Source organism: Homo sapiens, chromosome 17 (genome assembly GCF_000001405.40).
Source record: "Homo sapiens chromosome 17, GRCh38.p14 Primary Assembly".
Classification (NCBI taxonomy): domain Eukaryota; kingdom Metazoa; phylum Chordata; class Mammalia; order Primates; family Hominidae; genus Homo; species Homo sapiens.
In genome coordinates this window covers 33744946-33767367 of record NC_000017.11, presented here as the reverse complement: position 1 = coordinate 33767367, position 22422 = coordinate 33744946, and the positions used below count along the sequence as shown (strand labels likewise).

Genomic DNA, 22422 nt, shown 5'->3' with positions numbered 1-22422 from the left:
ACACACACAAAGCTGAGTGAGTTTCCTTCAACATCATAAGGTACATTTCCAGTGGTCTGATTTAAAACATGAACTCTGCAGCGCACAGGAAATATACTTTTGAACGCCCTGGAAAAGTCACAAAGAGAGACCAGCAGAAACTGAGGTTCACTGGGGTCCAAGGTGGGTTCCCACTGGGAATTTATGCCTTGCACAATGAGGCACCAGAGACACAGCAGACAAGCAGGGCTTTCAAATGTGAGCCTCAAATCCAAGGTCAGCAGAGCAGATGCACTGAATCGCACACACTGATCTGCTACCAAGATGCTTTACAAATGGAAAACTCTGTGCAGCCTGGTCCAGGGCAAATAGCAGTGTGGTTTCTTTTATTTAATGATGGTCAAAAATTATCATAAGCAAAGCCGGCTGGGCTGCCACATATTTTTGTCTGTCTTTGACAATGCTTATATCTGTATTAGAGTTTATCGCCATCAAAATCCACTGACAAATAAAAGTAAATGAGGCAATGGTAGTTGAGAGGAATGGGCTTTTGGAATAAACACAGGAAATAGCACAGGAATAAACCAAAACAGCTGTGATTTTTCTTTTTTTACCCTTTTCACCACAGATCAAATAGCACAGAGTTTAACTCTCAGCATACAGCTTCATTTTAACTGTTATTTTTCTTCTGATTTGGCTAAGAATCATCTCCTCAGTCAAAGTGAGAGCTAAACAATAGGTAAATAATAATAATAATAATCCCACATTTAGGATGCTACATTACACATGCAGATATGTGAAAGAAGCCACCAAAAACAAGCTCAGCCCTAGCTCAACACCCTGGTGAGGCACAGAACATGGAGGTTGAGAAGTCTGAGGGAGAAGAGTGCTTTGAAGCCCATTGTTCCTGGATTATATGGAGGTGTTATCTGGTGCCACTGCCTCTACCTCAAGCCTAGCAGAGAGGCTTCAAGGAAACCACTTGGAGAGTGTGATCTGCTTCTCTTTGAGTACAGCAGTCCCTCTATATCTGTAGGGGATACATTCCAAAAGCCTCAGCAGCTGCTTGAAGCCAATGATACTACCAAACCCTAAATACACTGTTTACTCCTATACATACCTATGATAAAGTTTAACTCATAAATTAGGCACAGTAAGAGATTAACAATTAATAATAAAACAGAACAACTATAACAATATACTGCAATAAATGTTATGTAAATGTGGCCTCTCTCTCTCTCAAAATATCTCATTGTACCATACTCACCTGTTTTTGGACTGTGGTTGACCGTGGGTAACCAAAACCATAGAAAGCAAAACCTCCAATAAAGAGGGACCATTATATGCTAAGCCACCTGCAATGGCAAGACAAAGAACCACTCCTAAGGGTCCCTGCCAAGAGAGGGTGGCCTACTAGAGCAGGGAGACCCCTTCCCAAGCAGCTCTGCTTGTAATAGGAGTCAAGGTGGAAAGGTCATAAGATACTGCATGGGGAATACATTGCCCACATCTGGGGCTGTGCGGTACAGCGGAGCCCACGGGAAGGGACGCCAAAGACCTCACGAATGTGCCTAAAGGAAGAATCCCATCTTGGAATATCCTCTAACCCCATCTGACTCCAGAGTCAAATCATGATAGCACCAGTCAAACAGAACATCCATGTCCCCCATCTGTTCTCCAAAAACTTGCTCTCAAGAACTCAATTGCATAGCTGTGTTCCACTCCAAGATTCCAGGGGAAATGGCAAGAAACTTAGAGTTCAGATTTTTTAAGAACTGCAGAAGACTGGACATTGTATCACTGAAATCATACTATTTTGAAACCAGCAGTGACCTAAGAACTTTTCATTTCCTGAAAGTGACAGGAAATTGAGGAACCTGCCTGAGACAACATCTTTGGGTGGGTAGGAAGGGTTGATAAGGTTGGTTTGTCAGATATTCCTGAGAGGGGAAAAGAAAGTTATTTTACAATTATGCTCCATCGCCGGGCGCGGTGGCTCACGCCTGTAATCCCAGCACTTTGGGAGGCCGAGGCGGGTGGATCACGAGGTCAGGAGGTCGAGACCATCCTGGCTAATACGGTGAAACCCCGTCTCTACTAAAAATACAAAAAAAAATTAGCTGGGCGTGGTAGCGGGCGCCTGTAGTCCCAGCTACTCGGGAGGTTGAGGCAGGAGAATGGCGTGAACCCGGGAGGCGGAGCTTGCAGTGAGCCAAGATAGCGCCACTGCACTCTAGCCTGGGCGACAGAGCGAGACTCCGTCTCAAAAAAAAAACAAAAAACAATTATGCTCCATCAAGTTCCACTGTCACCATCACAGTTAGTTTTGACTGCTGCTTTTTCCCCTCCAGAAAGACTATCTAGGAGAAGAGCAAGGGTGCTGACACGGGTGCTGGATGATGATGGCTAGATAGGCAGCAGTTTTACAGGTCAGCATCAGCATACGCCCAGGCTGATGGTCCATGAGCAGAAGAGAGAAAGTAACAATCAGGAAGATGGAAAGAGGAAAAGTCAGGCACGTGAATGTATCAAAGGGCACAAGGGGCTTGGTTTCCATCTTACATACCCATTGCTATTGTGCGAATGTCCCCTCCAAAGTTCATGTAGAAACTTACCCCCAGTGTGGCAGTATTGACAGATGGGGCCTTTAACATGTGATTGGACCATAAGGGCTGTACCCTCAAGAATGAACTCATCCATTCATGAATTAAAGGATGAATAGGTTATCATGGAGGAGGAATTGGTGGCTTTATAAGAAGAGGAAAAGAGACCTGAGCTAGCAAGTTAGTGCACTCAGACCCCTCGCCATGTGATGCCCCATGCTGCCTTGAGACTCTACAGAGTCCTCATCAGCAAGAAAGTTCCCACCAGATGTACTCCCTTGACCTTAAACCTCCCAGCCTCCACAGCTGTAAGAAACAAATTCTTTTTCTTTATTAATTATCCAGTTTCAGGTATTCTGTTATAAGCAGGAGAATATAGACTAACACACCCACTAAGGCTCAGTGAATGCTGGCTGCTCCAGGACAGTACATTCTCATTCTGAAATCAAAGCCTTTTTTTTTTTTTTTTTAGACAGAGTCTTGTTTTCTCGCCCAGGCTGGAGTGCAGTGGCGCGATCTGGGCTCACTGCAAGCTCCGCCTCCTGAGTTCACACCATTCTCCTTCCTCAGCCTCCCAAGTAGCTGGGACTACAGGTGCCCGCCACCATGCCTGGCTAAATTTTGTTTTTTTGTTGTTTTGTTTTGTTTTGTTTTTCAGTAGAGACAGGGTTTCACCATGTTGGCCAGGATGGTCTCGATCTCCTGACCTCGTGATCCGCCTGCCTCGGCCTCCCAAAGTGCTGGGATTACAGGCGCGAGCCACGGCACCCGGCCGAAATCAAAGACTCTTAAACTAGAAAAGGCTTGTTGGGGTAGGAGGGCAGCCCCCAGGATGGAGTTGATGCAGGGGAAATCCTCCAACACAAACAAAGATAAGCAGAGTGGTTTCTAAGAATAGGGCTGGGGGAAAGGGACCTGTCAAGAGAGGGTAAGGGCCCTGGATCAGTCATAAAAAGGCAAGCTGTGCTTCAGTAACAGGCAACCAGAAAATCTCAGTGACTTTACATATGTCTACCATAGGTTGGCCTGGGATCTTCTCAGCACCATCCTCACTCACTCTGGGACCCAGAAGGAAGGAGCAGCCATTATTTGGAATATGCAGCAGAGGAAAGAGAAAATGTGTCCGGCAGTGGCTCCTAAAACTTCTGCACAGTAGTGACTCATCTCACCTCCACTCACATTTCTTTGTCCAAAGCAGGTCACTTGGGTGCACCTAAGTTTGAAAGGAGGGAAAGCATAACCCTCCCCTGGCAATGGAACTGGAAACTAGTAAACAATAGATAACGCAATCCATCCCAGTGCCCAAGGAGAAGGGAAAAGGCCCTTCTGCTATGGAACCAGAGGATGCTCTTGAATTTAGTGAGGAAGGGCTGAAAGACCTGAAGGTCAGGGCTAGAGATGGGAGCTAGCATCCCACCCTTTCCTGCCCTGCTGATCTGAATTAAGTGAACAGAGTGACCAGATCATGAGCCTAAAGCTGTGTTCTTCCTCCACTCATTCTTCATTCATTCTACAGATATTTACTGAGCACATACTATGCACCAAGCATGATGTTAAATCCTGGAGAGAGATCAATCAACAAGACATATGGTCTCTGAACTCCAAGAAGTCGTAGTCAGGAGACTTGTATCCTGAGAGCTCCTCATGGTTCACTGAAGCTGGGGGCAGCATGGTTGAGGGGAAAGAGCCCTGGAATTGGAGTCAGAGATCTGATACTGGTTCTAACTTAACTGTGTAACATTGGTCAAGTTCATTCTCCTCTGTAGGCTTCCCTTTCCCTGTCTGATTCAGGGATCTTGTCATTGCAAAGATGGGGCCTACTCTACCAGCTTAAATAAAACAGAGCAACAAGAAGGACAGAAAAGTATCTGACAGGAGCCAAGGCCCCGCAACGGACTGGAAGTCAGGGACTGAGGTTCCTCTCCAGGAGTCACTCACCTCTGCTTCTCTGCCCATCTGCAACCTTTTTCTCTCCTCACATATTCATCCCCAACCATGGCTGCTCTAACATGGGACACCCAGTGCCCTCCTACCATCAAATACAGTATCTTTGAGCCCAGTGCTAACAAAGTTCAAACATAAAAAATACACTTGGCCTGGACTGAGTCGTGTATCCATTGCTGTGCAACGGCTATGGCCAGGAGAGGAGTCATGTGTCCACTTAGTAAGGACTATGGGAGCGGCCTTTCTGAAAATGGTTATAGACTGTGTCTCTAAAGAGTAGACCTGGGGAGGAAACCACTGGTATCACCACTTCATGGAGCAGCCATGAAATGGTGACTATAATGGTCTGGTCATCATGTTTCTGCATTCAGTGAACCCAAAACTTCAGGGTAAGCAAACTCACTATAAAAGTGAGTTGCTGCACACCACATCAGCCTGCTTCCAGAATACAAGCTCCCATAACCCACTCCTTCCCCCTTATTCAAATTCTTCTCCCCATCCAAAACATGGAGAATGGGGTATGAGCTGTAATCCCTGAGAATATTATAAATGGTTGATATCTTTTCAATCCTGTGAGGTCTTTTGGGTCCCAGGACCCAATGTGGTGGTTGCCCCCCTCCATAAATCTGGGGCTTAGCATTGCCATGTCACCATTCCTCCAGGGCTGTGCCACCTCCACAGCCTGCCTGGAGCCTACATACCATTCTCAGCACCTGCTGAGTTCGCTTGGGTCTGAGCCCCTGCTACAGGCATTTGCAAGATCAAATGGCCCACTCATTTCTCCTTTCAGTTTAAGAAGGTGTGACCTGCTGACATTTGTCAGTGAACCAGTTTTTCCATGCCTTCATCCACCCTTGCCTACCATAGAGAGTGCTGGCTGTCCTCACTCAGTTCCATCCCTACCCCCTGACTCCTAGGAAGGTCAAGTAGTGGTTGAACTGATTTGTGGGCTTTGAAATGAGGACTCTGGAAAGGGTGGTAGAAAGTTAAAAAAAAAAAAAAAAAGCCCTTGCGCTGGGGAGGTCTTAGGTGGGTTTTGAAACAGGTTTGTATTCTCAGCTGTAGGGTGGGAGGGAAATAGAAGGTAGAGAAAAGTGAATGTAGAAGATGATTAGAGTCAACTGTGCTTCTCTTTCATAGTGTATGAGGGGCTCCATGGTAACTGGTGTCATTTTGAAATCATATGTTTGTGTTCTTGGCCATGGCATTTCTTTCAGCCTGGACCACATGAGCCACCACTGGCATAAGCTCACGTCTTCCATCTCAAGCTGAAGTCCCTCCCTGAGAGTTGATCACTCCATTCCATTTGGGACTGGAATATTTTTCCAGGCCAGACCACATCTGCAGCAAGATCCTTTGGAGTGGTCCCTCTGAATCAGTCCTGGTGCTCAGTCAGAGCCTGGCATGAGTTCAGGCAGCCTTCCCCCATCCCATCCCTGTGTTGAGGGCCCCCGGATTCCCTACAGAGCTCCTTCATTCAGCCAGCACCCATTCCAAAATGGCTGATTTCCCATAACCCAACCAGCAGATTCAATCCAAGCACCACTCAGTTCCCTCTGGATTTTAACAACACAAAAAAATTACTCAATCCATCCAACAAAATCTCTTAAACTGTGACATCTGAGAATAGTGTATTTGCAGGATAGTCTATGGATTGGGATGAAGGTGGCAGAAAGTTTGGACATAGAGAATTGGTGGGAAAGGGAGAAAGAAAAAGAAAGCTAAAGTGTCATGAGCTGCTGCCTTTGGATTTAGAACAGATGAATGAGGAATGTCTACACCTGGTACACACTCATCCAGGTGTGTCTAGACTGGAATCTAATAAGCTACCTGAGTATCCCATTCAGCCAAAAATTATTGCCCTAGAATACAAGAGCCAGTCTGCTAACCAAATATTTTAGAAGGAAGCGCCTCTTGTTTAGGTTTAATACATGCATTTCACAAAATCAGGTACTGCAGGTTTGTTGCAAAGTCAGGGCCTGGGGACAGGACCACTCTTAAATTTAAAGGGCTCAAGAAGAGAACAATGGCAGCCCATAGACCATAAGTCTAAATATTCAAGAGACAAAAATCAACTCCCTCATCAAAGTAAATAAGTTCTGTCCTCTTACCTTCAAGAATACACCTTATAATTATGTATATACATGTATATGTAAAGTAAGGTTTTATATATATACACACACACCCACATACCCATACATATTTGTGTATGTGTGTATGTATATATATATATATATCTTGCATATATCCTGCTTTATATACACATAAATAATTTTGCTATGTTTGTTTATATATAAATCTATGGCACACACACACACACATATATAGCTTTATATATATGCATATCTATAGAGAGAGCTTTATATATATACACACACACTTATATCTTGCTTTATAAAATCTGGCTATGATTTGTATAGGTCTGAAAGTCAGCAAAACATCAAAGATGACTGATTTCAATTTTTATTGCACATATCTGGGTGTTCTGTTGACAATCCAGTGATGTTCAAATGAGTAATAAAATAAAAACATACATTATTTATAAATACTATATATATATTCCATAAAATATTTTTCCTGCTTTCATTCCAGCAGAATCGCTAATTGTGTTGTAGTCAGTATTTTCACATAATATATGTTTTATTTAATGCTATGTCAAATAAGTCCATTTTTTTTTGAGTCATTATAATTCTTAGATACTTTTATTTTTTCAAAATTAATTCCAATTTTAACAAACTGCTCTGGTGAGACAGTATCTTAGTTTGCTTTTTGTTGCTCATAACACAATACCTGAAACTGCAGTTTATAATGAAGTCAAATTTCTTTCTTAGAGTTCTGGAGGCTGGGAAGTCCAAGGTCAAGGGGCTACATCTGGTGAGAGTGTGTTCCCATGGCTCCACTAGGCATTACCCTAGTGGGGACTTTGTGGTGGCTCTACCCCTGCAACAAGTCTCTGCCTGGGTCACCAGGCTTTCTATACCATCCTTTGAAATCTGGGTGGCCTCCACAGCTTCTGCTTTCTGTCATCCTATAGAATTAGCACCACATGGACTTGTACCTTCTAGAGCGGCAGCACAAGCCACACCTGGGACCACTTGATCCAAGGCTGGGGTAGCCAAGGAGCACTGCATGGGGGTGAAGGGAGCAGAGCCCTGAGGTGACTCTGAGCAGCAAGGCCATCATGAGGACCTCAGGCTTGTCCCCTGAAACCATTCTGCCATCCTAGGCCTCTGAACCTGTGATGGGAGGGGCAGCCTCAAAGATCTCTGAAATGGCCTTCAGGGTCTTTCTTCCATTGTCTTGAGGAATAGAACCTGGCTCCCTTCTATCCATATGAATCTCTTTAGCAAAAGGTCAACAGGCTGCATCCTTGGCTTCTTCTGAACATACTTTTTATTATTATCTCCCACATGGCCAGGCTGTACGTTTTTCCAATTTTTTCACTCTGTTTCCCTTTTCTCTAGCAGTTCACCATAAGAAGTTAGAAGTAATCATGAAGCAGCCTGAGCATTTTGCTGTTTAGAAATTTTTTCCGCCAGATATGCTCTTCTGTTACTCTTAAATTCCACCTTCCACAGCACCCTCTGGCATGGACACAGTTCAGCCAAGCTCTTTGCCAATTTACAACAAGGATGGCCTTTACTCCAGTTTCCAATACCTTGTTCACCACCTCCATGTGAAACCTCATTTGAATGGTCTTTACTGTCCATATTTCTACCAGTATTCTGGTCACAACCACTTAACAAATCTCCGAGGAGTTCCAAACTTTCCCTTATCTTCTTGTCTTTTAAGCCCTCACTAGGATCTAGGCTTTTTCTAGCCTGCTCTTCCAAATTCTTCCAGCTTCTGAAAATGCTTACACATTTTCAGGTATCTGTTATCAGCAACACCCCACTTCTCAATACCATTTTTTTTTTTTTTTTTGGTATTAGCTTGCTTTCTATTGCTGATAACAGAATACTTGAAACTGGGTAATTTATAAAGAAAAGGAATTTATGTTTTACATTTAAGGAAGCTGAGAAGTCCAAGGTAAAAAGGCCACATCTGGTGGGAGCCTTCTTCTTGTTGGGAACTCTTTGCAGAGTCCTGGGGCGGCACAGGGTATCACATGGCAAAGGGACTCAAGCATGCTAATGTTCTAGCTCAGGATGCCCTTTCTCTTCTTACATTGCCACCAGCTCCCCCTCCATGATAACCCATGGATCCACTAACTCATTAATCTATTAATCCGTGAATGGATTAATCCATTCATGAGGGCAGAGCCCTTGTTGTTCAATCACCTGTTAAAGGCCCCACCTCTTAATGTATTCTACCACACTGGGGATTATATTTTAACATGAGTTTTGGAGGGGACAAACGTTCAAACCATAGCAAACAGTAGCAACTGGGATTGTCAATAGTAGTAAAGCAATCCTTAGGTTCATAAAAGGACTATACATTTTATACACATGTTCAAACAATGCAATGGGACTGTATACAATAAATAATTTTCTCAAAAAATATTGAATATGTGAATCTCATTACAAAATCTCTATCACTTATATTAAGCTTCTCACTGGCTCTGGTAGCAATATCTATACTCATATGACAATAATGTTAAGAATTGGTATCACACTTCCCAGATGTTACATATACAGTACCTACACACACATATATACACACACACACACATTTAAGAAAAGGATGAATTTTGGTTATTATTGCTACATGATCTTCAGCCACCATGTACAGTGTTTGCGGTTTTGTGAATACTGCAGCAAGTCATGAGTTTCATCAGAACCACACATTGCAACCAAATAAGCAAGAATTGGATCGTCCTCTTTATGCAGAAATCAATTGTTCTCAAGCTATCTGAGAGGGAGGATTCGACAAGTTAATTAATTTCTCTTTTTGCTTACGGAAAGGCTTCTGCAGCTCATACCCTCCCAATCTTCCAGAGCACTGTCGGCCTCTGAGGTTGCAGCCTCTCAGCACACACCTGCCTGGAATGCCAACACAGCTGCCTTTGGTTTGGAGGACATGGGGCAAGAGTTGGGTGGGAAAGGGATGTTTCTTGGGGCTAAAAGTGTCAGTCACAGAACAGATGTTTAAGGTTGCAGGTTGTTCTGAGAAAATGCTGAACTGTGGATCCTGAGAGCAGAATACAGAAGAGTGTTTTGATACATTTACTTGTGTATACTCCTGTTTTCTATAAAACATGGGGCTCAGGGAAAGAAGTCTAAGAGCTGTATTTGTTGTGGGGTCAGCTGAGAGCTATGTGCCCCCACCTCCTGTTTGGACTTAAATTGAAGTAAGGAGCTGGTCCAAAGATCTTGTGAATTTCTCAGTCATAATCAAGGCCATTAAGTGCAAAATGAACAGTGGGGAGCAGGCAGAAAGAGCAGAACTCTAACATCCAGCCAGGGAGGGAAGCTGGTCTCGAACTCCCGACCTCAAGCAATCCTTCCACCTCTCAGCCTCTCAAAGTGTTGGGATTACAGGTGTGAGTCACCATGCCTACCCTGGGAAACTTCTGCCTTTTGTCCCGCAGGAGAATCTGCTAGTAACTAGGAGGAAGTCCCAAGTGAGAAAGTGTCTTCACTTTGTCCCTTGTTAGAATAGGGACAGTAGTACAATGACAGCAAAGAGAATCTTCCAGAATCTCACTCCTCGTTCTCCTCCTGGGGCTGAGGAAAAGGAAGAGAAGGGCAGGAAGGATTCTAGTCATGATAAGAATCAGGAAACTCCCTGGGCGTTCTCCCTCTAGAGCCCAACATTAGTGTCCTCTTGTTCCTTCACTAGTATCAGGACCTCTGAAGAGATTGGACTGAGGTGGCCAGAAGCCAAGGAATGCTGGCAGCCACCAAAGCTGGAAGAGGCAAGGAAATGGATTCTCCTCAAAACCTCTGTGTGGAGTGTGACCCTGCTGTCACCTTGGTTTCTGCCCAGTGAAACCTATTTCCAACTTATCTCGTCCAGAACTATAAGACCCTACGTCTGTGTTGTGTTAAAGGCACTCAGTTCCTGATGTGTTACAACAGCAAGAGAAAACCAATACAGCATCTTCCACTGGAGATTGTTCCTTCCTGTTCTGTTTATCTTTCTGGGCCTCTCTTTGGGCTGTCACTTTACCTTGAAGATTTCTCTTTACCTTCTTAAAGAGGTTCTCTAAGTGTTTAGTAACTTTCCTACCTCAGAGTCTCTGCTGGCAGGGGCAGGAAGTGCCCTTCCCAGCCCAGGTGGGAGCTCAGAAACATCTCCTGGGTCCAGATGCTAGAAGGTAAGCCCTGGCTCTTGTGAGTGTAGGTCTCACTTGTGCAGGTGGCAGGACAGTGGAAGGAGAGAGTGATCCTTTCAGAAGGCCACCTTGGCTTGCTGTCAAAAAATTGAGTTGGAGCTCTGACATCTGAAACAGGTCCCCTCCCTAGTGTGTATATGGGAACTTATTTCTGAACTCTTAATCCTAAAGCTGCAGGCCCAACAACTTTCTGGTGATAAGGAGCATCTGATAGATAATTCCATAAAGACACCTGAGCTGCACTTGCCATCTGAGGGGCTGGTGTTTGGAAAGTCCTGCAGGTGACTCTGTCAGCAGCTGTCTCAGAGCCAAGGCTGGCATTGAATAGGTCAGTGGTCAGCAGTCCAAAGGCTCTGGGGAGACATTGATGACCTGTGGTCAGGTGCCCTGGCTGGCTGAAGGCCATGCCACTTATCCTGTTGGTCCATTTGAAGGTTGTCTTGTTCATTGATCAAGCCTGTTCAGATCATGCTGATAGAGTATTGGGGTGCAATGTTCAATTACAGGGAAAACGGGAAGCAGAGCTGCCGGCTGGGTGTACTGACCATGCACACATGCGCTTAGCAAGATTGGAGCAAATGTTCCCGGTCATGATGCCCACTCCCTTCCCCACCCTGCTTATCATCCATCACCATGTTGAGGGGGTCACCCTGCACATCACAGGGGCCCTCTCTGCCCTCCTCGTGCACCTAACTTGCCTGTGAAGGCTCAGCTGCTGCAACATCTCCTCTGTAAATATCCTCTGATGCCTTCTTCACCCAGTGGGTCACCTCTTCCTTTGGTCCCCTCTGTATCCTGCGTGTTTATGTTTGCACACTCTTACGTCACGTTAGATCTAGTATTTCTTCATTACATGACTGCCTCCCTGTTCTCCTGCAAACTCCTTGAAGACCAAGAACTAATTTCCCTTTCAGTATGTCCCAAACAGAGCACAGTGTTTGGTAGATTTTGTTACCCAATGAAGGGTGTTAAATGATCAACTAAAGCATTCAGTCTCCAATGATGTCCATTCAAATGTATCATTCATCTCTAAGAGCAGGTTTCTGCTTAGCATAAGCCTATGAGCTTAGTGACATCCCAAAGAGAGACTCAGAAAGATAAACCAAACCAGGAAGGAAACATCTCCAGTGAATGATGCTGTATTCGTTTCCTGTTGCTATTGTAACACATCAGGAACTGAGAGGCTTTAACACAACACAGACATAGGGTCTTATGGCTCTAGACGTCAGAAATTGGAAATGGGTTTCACTGGGCTGAAACCAAGGTAACAGCAGGGTCGTGCTCCACACAGAAGTTTTGAAGAGAATCCATTTGCTTGCCTCTTACAGCTTTTTGGTGGCTGCCAGCATTCCTTGGCTTGTGGCCACCTCACCCTGATCTCTTCTTCACATTGTCCTCTCCTTTTCTGTAGTCAAATGTCCCCCTGCCTTCCTCTGCCCTCTCATAAGGACACTTTTGATGACCTTGACCTGACCTGAATAATCCAGAATAATCCCGTCAGCTCAAAAATCTTTAACTTAATCCCATCAGCAAAGTCCTTTTTGTTATACAAGGCAACATTCTCACTGTCTATAGGGAACTGTTCTTTTTTTTTTTTTTTTTTTTTTGAGATGGAGTCTCGCTCTGTTGCCCAGGCTGGAGTGCAGTGGTGCGATCTTGGCTCACTGCAAGCTCTGCCTCCCAGGTTCACACCATTCTCCTGCCTCAGCCTCCTGAGTAGCTGGGACCACAGGTGCCCGCCACCATGCCTGGCTAACTTTTTTTGTATTTTTAGTAGAGATGGGGTTTCACCATGTTGGCCAGGATGGTCTCGATCTCCTGACCTCGTGATCTGCCCGCCTCGGCCTCCCAAAGTGCTGGGATTACAGGCGTGAGCCACCGCACCAGCCTATAGGGAACTGTTCTTTAACACATATACTAAACCCATCAACACATTTATTTGATAATTGAAGTTTGAGCATATACTCTGCCTTAGATGCTAGAGTTATGCTGAGAAGGAACAACAGCATGAATTAGATGTAGTCTTCACCTTTCAGAGTTTGCAGTTTACCCAGGGAGAGAGATGCATAAACAATTAGCTGCTCCCAGGAGCAGGAAGCCCCCAGGAGCTCAGGGGTGACCTCTGAGCTGCTGGGCCTGCTTAGAGCTAGGAGGCCTTAGGGTATGTCCATAGCTTTATCGGAGTGTCTGTGTGACATCCGGAGCCCAGATGCTGGGAACCTTCTCACAATGAATATGCATAACCCCTCTAACCAGAAGGAACGCCACCTGCCAACTCGGATGGACTCTCCACCCCTCCCCCCACCATCATCCCTGATGTTTTAGGAGCAGAATCTGAAGATGGGCTGAGAAGAGTTGATTCTCAAAGGTGAGAGAAGAGGGGAGGGACATGCAAGGGAGAGATTCAGACAACCTACCCCATAAAGAACAGGGATAGAGAGGTGGTGCAGGGAGGCTGGGGTGGAGGAAGGGAATCAGTACCCCTTCCCACCCATCTTTTTATTTTTTGTTTTTAAAATTGATTTTTAGAGCAGTTTTAGGTGCATAGAAACATGGAGCAGAAAGTATAGAGTGTTCCTATGTACGCTCTCTTCCGGCAGCTGCAGTTTCCCCTGTTATTAACAACAGGCATTAGTGTGATATATCTGTTACAATTGATGAGCCAATATTGATACATTGTTACTGTTAAAGTGACCTAAATATGGCCTGAGAAGGACTCTGTACTTCTATATTTGAGACCTCGTGGATGAACTGTAACCTAATTTAGGAGTATGCACCTGTAACAATAGCTGAGTCTTGGCCAATCCCAGTAGCCATACTTCAAACCACTCATACACCGCCAAGTGTTCAAACCGTGTTCAAATAAGGCAAAGGATGAGCTGTAACCAATCCAGTTGTTTCTGTATCTCACTTCCGATTTCCTTACGTCACTTCCCTTTTTTGTGTGTATGAATCTTCCTCCACCACACGGCTGCACTGGAGTCTCTCTGAAGCTGCTGTGATTCTAGGGGTTGCCCCATTCACGAATTGTTCATTGCTCAATTAAACTCCTTTAAATTTAATTCAGCTGAAGTTTTTCTTTTCACATTACTAACTAAAGTCCATTGTTTACATTAGGGTTCATTCTTTGTGTTATACAATTCTATGGGTTTTGACAAATGTATGATGACGTGTGTCCACTACTACAGTATCATACAGGATAGTTTCACTGGCCAAAAAGACTCCCACCCCCAAGCTTCACCCCTTCTTCCCTCCTTTTCTTCCCCCAATCCATGGCAACCACTGATTTTCTTACTGTCTCCATAGTTTTGCCTTTTCCAGAATGTCATATAGCTGGAATCATACGGTATGTAGCTTTTGTAGATGGATTTCTTTCACTTAGCAATACATATTTAGGATTCTCCATGTCTTTCTATGGCTTGACAACCAATTTCTTTATATCACTGAATAATATTCCATTGTCTGGATGTACCACAGTGTATTCATCCACCTATTAAAGGACATCTTGATTGCTTCCATTGTTTCCAGTTCTTTGGCAATTATAAATAACATTGCTATAAACATTTGTGTGCAGGTTTTTGTGTGGATGTATGTTTTTAACTTGTTTGGGGAAATACCTAGGAGCTTGATTGCTGGATTATATGGTAAGAATATGTTTGATTCCATAAGGAACTGCCAAACTTTCTTCCAAAGTGGCTGCAACATTGTGTATTCCCACCAGCAATGAATGGGAGTTGCTGTTGCTCCACCTCCTCACCAGCATCTGGTGATGTCAGTGTTTTGGATTTTAGCCATTGTCAGAGGTGTATGTGGCATCTCACTCTTGTTGTAAGTTGCAGTTCCTTAATGACATTGATGTGGAGCATCTTTTTGTATACTTATCTGCCATCTATGTAGACCCATACCATGGATATTATTCAATGATAAAAGGAAATGGTCTATCCAGTCCCCAAAAGACATGAAAGAGTCATAAATACATATATCTTTTCTTCGGTGAGATGTCTGTTAAGATCATTGGCCCATTTTTTAATTGGGTTGCTTATGTTGCTAGTATTGAATTTTAAGAGTTCTTTGTATATTTTGGATATAATTCCTTTTTCAGATATGTGCTTTGTAAATGTTTTCTTCCAGTCTGTGGCTTGTCTTTTCATTCTTCTAACCACCCCACCTTTTGACTTTTTTTTGCTAATGAAAGCGTTCAGAGTGTAGAGTATGGGAATGATTGAGGTGGAGAGAAAGGGGTTAGAAGAAGTGGTGCTAAGGTTATAAATTAGATTCATTTTAATTTCCTCTGAGAGGTATGGAGGAAAAAGTGAAACTCTTTTTTATCTTAATTTTAATATTTTTTTAAATTTCTGTTTGAAAGGGCCGACTCTCAGAGGGCCACCAGCTGAGTCTACTCTTGGAAAAATGACCCTACTCTGTGTATGTGTTCCTGGGTCAGTCTCTACCCAGACTGCAACCTTCTAGAGGGCAGGGACTTGCCTTGCTCTTCACTCCTTCCCAGTGCCTGCTCTGTCAGGTGGTGCTTAGACGACAAATGTGGGATGTTAACAGAAGGACATCTTTAACAAGAGTAAAACCAAAGTATAATCTTCCCCACCCCCACCCCACCCCTCACCCCCACCCCCGGCTTCCCTAAGCTGGGCTGAGGAAAGCTCCAAAGCCTAGCATTCCCTCCCAGCCTCCCGCTGCCTCTCAGCACACCCGGTCTGCCCCCTAAGTCTACCAGTTCTACAGGACAGTTCATTCTTTGCTGTTGCAGCTCCCCTGACCCTCCATCAGCTGGAGTAATTGTTTCTTAATTGGACTCTAAGTCATTCTATGCAGGGAGCAGGGGAAACTAGAATTAAATGAAATCGGGATCTGAATCCAAAGGAAAGAAAAAGTAAACCAAAACGTTATACAGAAGAGTTGAAAAACAGAATGGATGAAAGCGTGAGGGATGGAGACGTATCCGTGTTTATATACATTGGTATGTTAGGAAAATCAATGGATTTGGAATTCAAAATTCTAGTCGCAATAAAAAAAAAACTATGTCCTTGAAAAAATTACTGTCTCAGACCTCAAATTCAGCATCGGTAAAAAGGGAAGACTGGTCACTTAATTTCCAAAGACCTTTCTATATCTTATCTCTTCAGAAACAGCAGCAGTTTCTGTTTATTCTAGAAGGTGGCCGCATCATTTAAAAAGAAACCAAAATACTTTGTTTTTCTGACTTTCCCAGAACAATTCCTGGCAGTGCCACTAGATGGCGGAATGAGACCACATTGGTGCCGTGTCAGGGCGGCTGCAGATCTGTATGCAGCCAAGGTAGCAGCAAGCTATGAGCCGTCTCCTGCAGGCATCTGATTAATGATAGGGCTGTAATCATCTTTACACAATCCCGACTGCAGCCCAGTTGTAGCCTAGCTGTTAAATTAAACTGAACAAATAAATATGCCAGGCAACTCAGCCTCCCCACCCGTCCCTACCCTGGGTGGCTTCCAAGCTGATTAACATATCAAAACACAAACTCAACCCTCCCATCTCCCTTCATTTTCATAACAAAAGGGGCCCCCTTTCATCTCCCAGCAACCCAATCTGTATTTAAATAGCTCTGTGAAGACTGATAACATTATTACTTTATTTCCCTGAGTCTTGCCTGGGGATCTCTCCAATGTGTTTCCCCAGGAAACTGGATGGATGTGTTTTATTAGAAAGATGAATCACCCCCTTCTCCCCATCCCCAGCTGCCTTAAGCTTCTGGTTGGGTGTAAGTAGGAAGGAAAACATACAGGAAGCTTTCTCTGAAGACTCCAGAAATCACAGATCAGCCCTGCTGAGTCCCTAGCCCAATCAGACAATGCCTGATGTCTCAATGATCTTAGATCAAAACAAAACAAACAAAGCATTATAAACAGAAAAACAAACTCTGACATCCGGGTGCACTCCACATAGGGTGCAGGTCATGGGCACTGTTCGGAGTTATTAACTGTAGGGTCTTGGGCACTAAGTCCTGTTATTAAATGTAGGGCCCTCGGCACTAAGTCATCTTGGAGTTATTAACCACTGGGCCCTAGGCACTAAGTTATTTCTGGAATGTAAAGGTTCCTAGCGAGCATCTCACCCCAGGCTCCAGGGCCTCCTGAGTGCACTGAATTTATTTTGCACAATATCGTGCACATGAGCTCATCTGAGAAGAGCATCCAGTCTTCATCAGTCTACCAAACCTCAGGAACCACCGTTTCCCCCTCAGTTCCTTGCAATCTGTTCATTTAAGGATGAGGAACCAAAGTCCAGGAAAGAGGAAGGGGTTGCCCAGGGTCCTGGATAGTCTTCTGCAGAGTGGGACAAGGGCTCTCTGGGTCTTCTGACTCCACCACATCTGCTCACCCCTCACCTGACCTCCTTGAACCTCAGTTTCTCCCTCAGGGACCCTGCACACCCACACATCACAACAACATTCCCTACACCTAGCGGAGTGGCTGGCACAGAATAGATATGCAATGGACAGGAGTAGAGGAAGGAAGTGAGGAACTGCATGAAAAACTGGAAAGTGGATATTTAGATCAAAGAGGGAGGCTGGTCCCCACAGCTGGTCCCTAACTGAGGTCCCGCCTGGCAGAAGATGGCATGGGGGGAGACTCGGGCACTCCTGAGGCTCACTGGCAGCACAGCCTTGGAGTTGGCAGCATGGGACATTTCAAGGCACACAAAGCTGGGCCCCCCAATCCTGTACCTGCCAATAACCCTCTTTCTCCAATCCACACTGGCTTTGGACGGACTTAGAAATAGAACAGGCCTGAGCATGACAGAGACCAAATTGGAGAGCAGGCAGGGCTGACGGTGAAGTGGGTGTTGACTGGAGGCTGTGTCAGGCCGGGGCAAGCTGTAAGAGAGGCAGTCGTCCTCTCCTCCCATAAGTAACAGTCTGGTGGGCATGACAAGCCCACCAAGTGACAGCTCTGAGGTGTGGGAGGGAGCCATGGAGAGGGCGGTCCAGATGGGGACAGCCAGCTCAGGATCTGTGCATGAAACTGGTGCTAAGGTTGGGACCACTAAGAAGTTCCCCTTCAATAGTGAGATCCATGTGAGAGACCCCCAGGCCCACAGGAGTAGAGGAGAGGAACAGGGGCTGGACTGGTGAAAGCGCCCCTCCCACACGGTCCGAGGAGCCCCCACCTGCACTCTTAGACAGCACTCCTGTGCTCCACAGAGAGAACGCCTCGCCGCTCTCCTCCCAGTAGAGGAAGTGAGTCCTACCAAGCAAAGATGGGGTCTTGGGGTTGGGGGAGCAGCTGGAGAAGGAGAGGGGTCTTGTTTCCCTGGGGTAGGGGGAAAGGGAGGGAAAGGGTCCTGAAGCATGCATGACAGAAAGGCCTCCAGGAGGGAGAATCACACACCACCCTTCCTGCCAGAGCTCCAGAGGAAGCTGTGCTCTTGCACCCCAACCCGGTTCTCTCCTAGGTGGTGCTGCTTCACCTTCCTGCTCCCCTGCCCAGGAGGGAAAGGAAGAAAGGAGAGCAGGAGCCAGCTTGCTCTCCTCTCACCTCTGGAGGGGCAGCCAAGTGTTCTTAGGCTGTGCCGAGGGCCCCCTGAGCCCAGGGCCATGCTGCAGACACGTGTCCTGTGTTCCCCTTGAAAAGAAGGCTGGGGAGATGTTTCCGTGGACTGTTGTCCCATGGGACTTCAGTTCCTTCCCATTTGAGCTCCTGCGTGGCTCTCGCATGCATGCGTTCCACAGATAATAATTAAAAGTCTATTGTGTACAGAGTATTACACTAATCACTTAAGAGGCACACGAAGGAAGAAAGGACATTATGAAGCCTTATATATTTATCATCCTGGAGTTCTAGAGCCGTAAGGCAGCTCAGAGATCATGAGGGCAGCTTCTATTCTCATGTGGCCCAGAAGGTGGGAGGTGGAAGGAATCCCCAGGCCACCACCGTGCCATCTCATTTTGTAGACAGGGAGGCAGAGACCAGGAGGGGCAGTATCCTGCCACTTCCACCCTACCCATGATGAGTTAGTGAATTGGGGTCTGGGTTTCTGTTTTTTCTTTCCTATCAGGAAGCCCTGCTTTTAAATAATGCACCATTATTTCTCAGGACTTCTTTCTCCCGAATGCCCTGTGAGGAAGGACTGTACTGTGTCTCCTCTTGCAGAGGCTAAATCTGAGGCCAAAGGAGTTTCCATAAACTGCTCTGGATGCAGGCCAAGCCCCTGCACTGAAGGATGGAAGAGGTGAAAGGACCAGAGTTTGGGGTTCAAGATTCCACATCTCCAGACCTGGGAGGTGGCAGTTTGCATGGGAGAAGCCCAAGAGTGCTCAGGGAAAGCTGCAAGGAATCAGGGAAGCAGGCACCAGGAGGCGGGTGCTTAAGGAGGCAGGTGGCTAGGAGGGCAAGAGATGAGAGGAACTGCCCAGAGAGTGTGGCCGGCAGAAGGGTGGGCTTTGCAGTTAGATTGAGTGGGCTCAAAGCTCAACTCTGTTACATTCAAGGCGTGCGCTCTCTAGCAAGTCGCTTAACCTTCGCAAGCCTTGACTTCCTCATCTCTGAAATGGAAATGATACTGGTACCTTCCACTTGAGGTTGTTGAGGGCCACCTGAGAATGCAGAATGTCTAGCTCATGTTACACACTGAATTAGCACTGGCTTCTTTCACTAAAACTAAAGTGACTTGAAGATGCGGGGATGATGTCAGGGGATGGAGTTGAGGTGAGGCCCGCCTGTCAGAGGCAGGCATCAGAGACCAGAGGGGAGTGTCCTGAGGACCCTGCAGACCTGGGGAAGAAGGGGAGGGAGGTTTAGTCCAGGCTTTGCCTCTGTCTTGGCCTGTAGCCTTGGAGAAGTCACTCCCTCTCTGGACTTGCAAATCTCACATTCTGTGGAGTCCATAGGGAGAAAAATGGAAGTTGGGGAGAATCTGAGGGAGAGGTGGCATGACCTGACAGCAGCAGTGGGAAGCAAGAGTAGCATGATCTTCATCTCAACTGGAGGTAAAAGAAGCAAAGCATAAACAACGGATCTCCAGGTCCAGGTAAAGTGTGGGAAGGATGGCCAGGCACAATGGAGTACGCCTGCCATCCCAGCACTTTGAGAGGCCGAGGCAGGCAGATCACTTGAGCTCTGGAGTTCAAGACCAGCCTGGGCAAGTGATGAAACCCCATCTCTACCAAAAATACAAAAATTAGCTGGGCGTGGTGGTGCATGCCTGTAGTCCCAGCTACTTGGGGGACTGAGGTGGGAGGATCACGTAAGCCCACAAGGTCAAAGCTGCAATGAGCCGTGATCATGCCACTGCACTCCAGCCTGGATCACAGAGCTAGACCATCTCAAAAAAAAAAAAAAAAAAAAAGACGGCTGGATGGGAGCAAGGTTTTGTGTCACGTGCCCTGCAGGAGAGCAGAGAGTTCATCATAGTAGAACTTTATACCTGTAAGACAATCTACAAAGTACATTCACAATCATAGATTCATGTGACCTACAGAAGGACCCTATAAGACAGGCTGAACAGGGATTATGTTACCCGTTTCACAGAGGAGAACATCGTTGTCAAGTCTGTATCTTGTGTCTTTATTTATTCATCTCAAAGTCTTCTTCTAATTCCCCTTGTGATTTATTTTCTCATTCATTCATTTTTCAGTAGAGTATTGCTTACTTTCTACATATTTGTGAAATTGCCAAATTTCTTTCTGTTATTAATTTCTAATTTCATCCCATTGTAATCAGTGAATATATTTTGTGTTGTCTCAAGGCCTAATATATGGTCTGTCATGGAGAATGTTCCATGAGAAAACGTTGAGAAAAATGTATATTCTGCTGTAATTGAGTACTCGGTAGAGATCTATTAGGACTGATTTATGTATAGTGTTGTTCAAGTCTTTTATTTCTTTGTTAATCTTCCCTTGAGTTCTATCCATTATTAAAAGTGTGGTATTAAAGCCTCTAACCATTATTGTTCAGCTGTCTATTTCTCCCTTCAATGTGGTCAGATTTTGCTTCATAAATTGTAGGTCTCTGTCATTAGGTATATGAGTATAAAAACTATATATACACATATATACACACACATATATGTATATATACATATATGTAGATATACATACATATACACATATACACACATATATACACATATATACATATTCATATACGTATCTACAGATATACATACATGTATCTACCTATATATGTAGATATACATGTATATCTACATATATAGGTAGATACATGTATGTATATATACATATATGTATATATGTGTACATGTATATACATACGTGTATATGTATATACATGTACACGTATGTATATACATATATGTGTATATGTATTTAAAGCTAAGAAAAGAAAGGAAGACATGTATACATTTATAGAATTTGTTATATTTACCTTTAATTTATCATTTGTTTGTCTTCATATTCTCTTTTTCATTTTCATTGATTTGGTTTTCAACTCCAGAATTTCCACTTGTTTCTGTGAATTCAAATTACCATCTGTTATCATTTCTTTACTCCAATATGATTTTGCTCCTGTCTACCTTTTCTGTGTGGTTATTGTTAAATATATTATATTTCTGTGTATTACAGGTGCAACAATGCAATTATATACATATTGTTTTATACAATTTGTTTTTAAATCAGTTAAGAGAAGAAAGAAGAAACGTGCATTTATACTTTATTTTATAATTATATAGTTACCTTTGCTTGTGCTCTTTGTTTTTATCATGTGGATTCAAATTTCCATCTAGGCTTATTTACTTTCAACATGAAGCACTTCCTTTAGTATTTTCCATAAGGTAAGTTCAGCAATGAATTCTCTCAATTTTTATTTATCAGAAAATGCCTTTATTTTACCTTCATTTTTGAAAGATAGTTTTTCTGGGCATTAGATTCTCAGTTAAAAGATTTTTTTTTTCTTTTTTCTGCACTTTGAGTATGTCATCCCACTGCTTTCTGACTTACATTGTTTCTGGTAAGAATTCAATGGTTAATCTTATTGGGTTTCCCTTTTATGTGATGAGTCATTTTTCTCTTTCTGCTTTTAAGATTTTTTTTTTTTTTGACTTTGACTTTCAGCATTTTTACTGTATCTGGGTGTGGAGCTCTTTGCATTTATCCTACTTGGAGTTTGTAGAGATTCTTGGATATGTAAATTGATTTTTTTTTTTCAGTAAATTTGGGGTTTTTCAGCCATTATTTCTTGTGATATTTTTCTGCTCCTATCTCTTTTTACATTTTGACCTCCCCCAACCCAGAGAGAATTCTGCAGCACACGGCATTTGGACTTAAACCACATCAGCTGTTTCCTGGGTCTTCAGCCTGGTGACCTTTGGACTTGAACTGTAGTATCAGCTCTCCTCTGGGTCTTCAGCCTGCTGGCCCTTTCATCAGGCGGAACTGGGGGTGGGAGGGGAAAGATAGGGAGCAAGTTGTGGCTCAAGTGCCAAAGGCCCTCATGTTATTACCATATTTTAGTAGATTTTTGTGAAATTTATTTTGGTACACTTAAATGTATCGCACATTTCTCTGAGGCTCTGCTAATTTTTCTTTATTTTATTTTCTCTCTGTTCTTTGGATTGAATAATCTCTGTTGATCTATCCTCAAATTTACTGATTCTTTTTTCTGCCCA

General features: G+C 44.3%; 1 protein-coding gene across 1 annotated transcript in view, besides 4 other annotated features; it reads left to right on the top strand.

The window, feature by feature from the left end:
• ASIC2 (acid sensing ion channel subunit 2) overlaps nt 1-22422 on the top strand; it is a 1143682-nt gene that overhangs the window by 389401 nt on the left and 731859 nt on the right. The gene's annotated exons all lie outside the window — the stretch shown is intronic.
• Nucleotides 15710-16868: an enhancer, noted in NCBI's record as "VISTA enhancer hs1725". NCBI's record gives its function as "enhancer in: neural tube[16/20] | hindbrain (rhombencephalon)[16/20] | midbrain (mesencephalon)[18/20] | forebrain[18/20]" and the evidence as "EXISTENCE:transgenic organism evidence [ECO:0001131][PMID:17130149]".
• Nucleotides 15710-17026: a biological region, named in NCBI's record as "VISTA enhancer hs1725".
• Nucleotides 15949-16486: an enhancer, noted in NCBI's record as "OCT4-NANOG hESC enhancer chr17:32077901-32078438 (GRCh37/hg19 assembly coordinates)". NCBI's record gives its function as "activates a minimal SCP1, AML or CMV promoter by ChIP-STARR-seq in naive and primed H9 embryonic stem cells {active_cell/tissue: H9 hESC(naive and primed)}" and the evidence as "EXISTENCE:reporter gene assay evidence [ECO:0000049][PMID:30033119]".
• Nucleotides 16487-17026: an enhancer, noted in NCBI's record as "OCT4-NANOG hESC enhancer chr17:32077361-32077900 (GRCh37/hg19 assembly coordinates)". NCBI's record gives its function as "activates a minimal SCP1, AML or CMV promoter by ChIP-STARR-seq in primed H9 embryonic stem cells {active_cell/tissue: H9 hESC(primed)}" and the evidence as "EXISTENCE:reporter gene assay evidence [ECO:0000049][PMID:30033119]".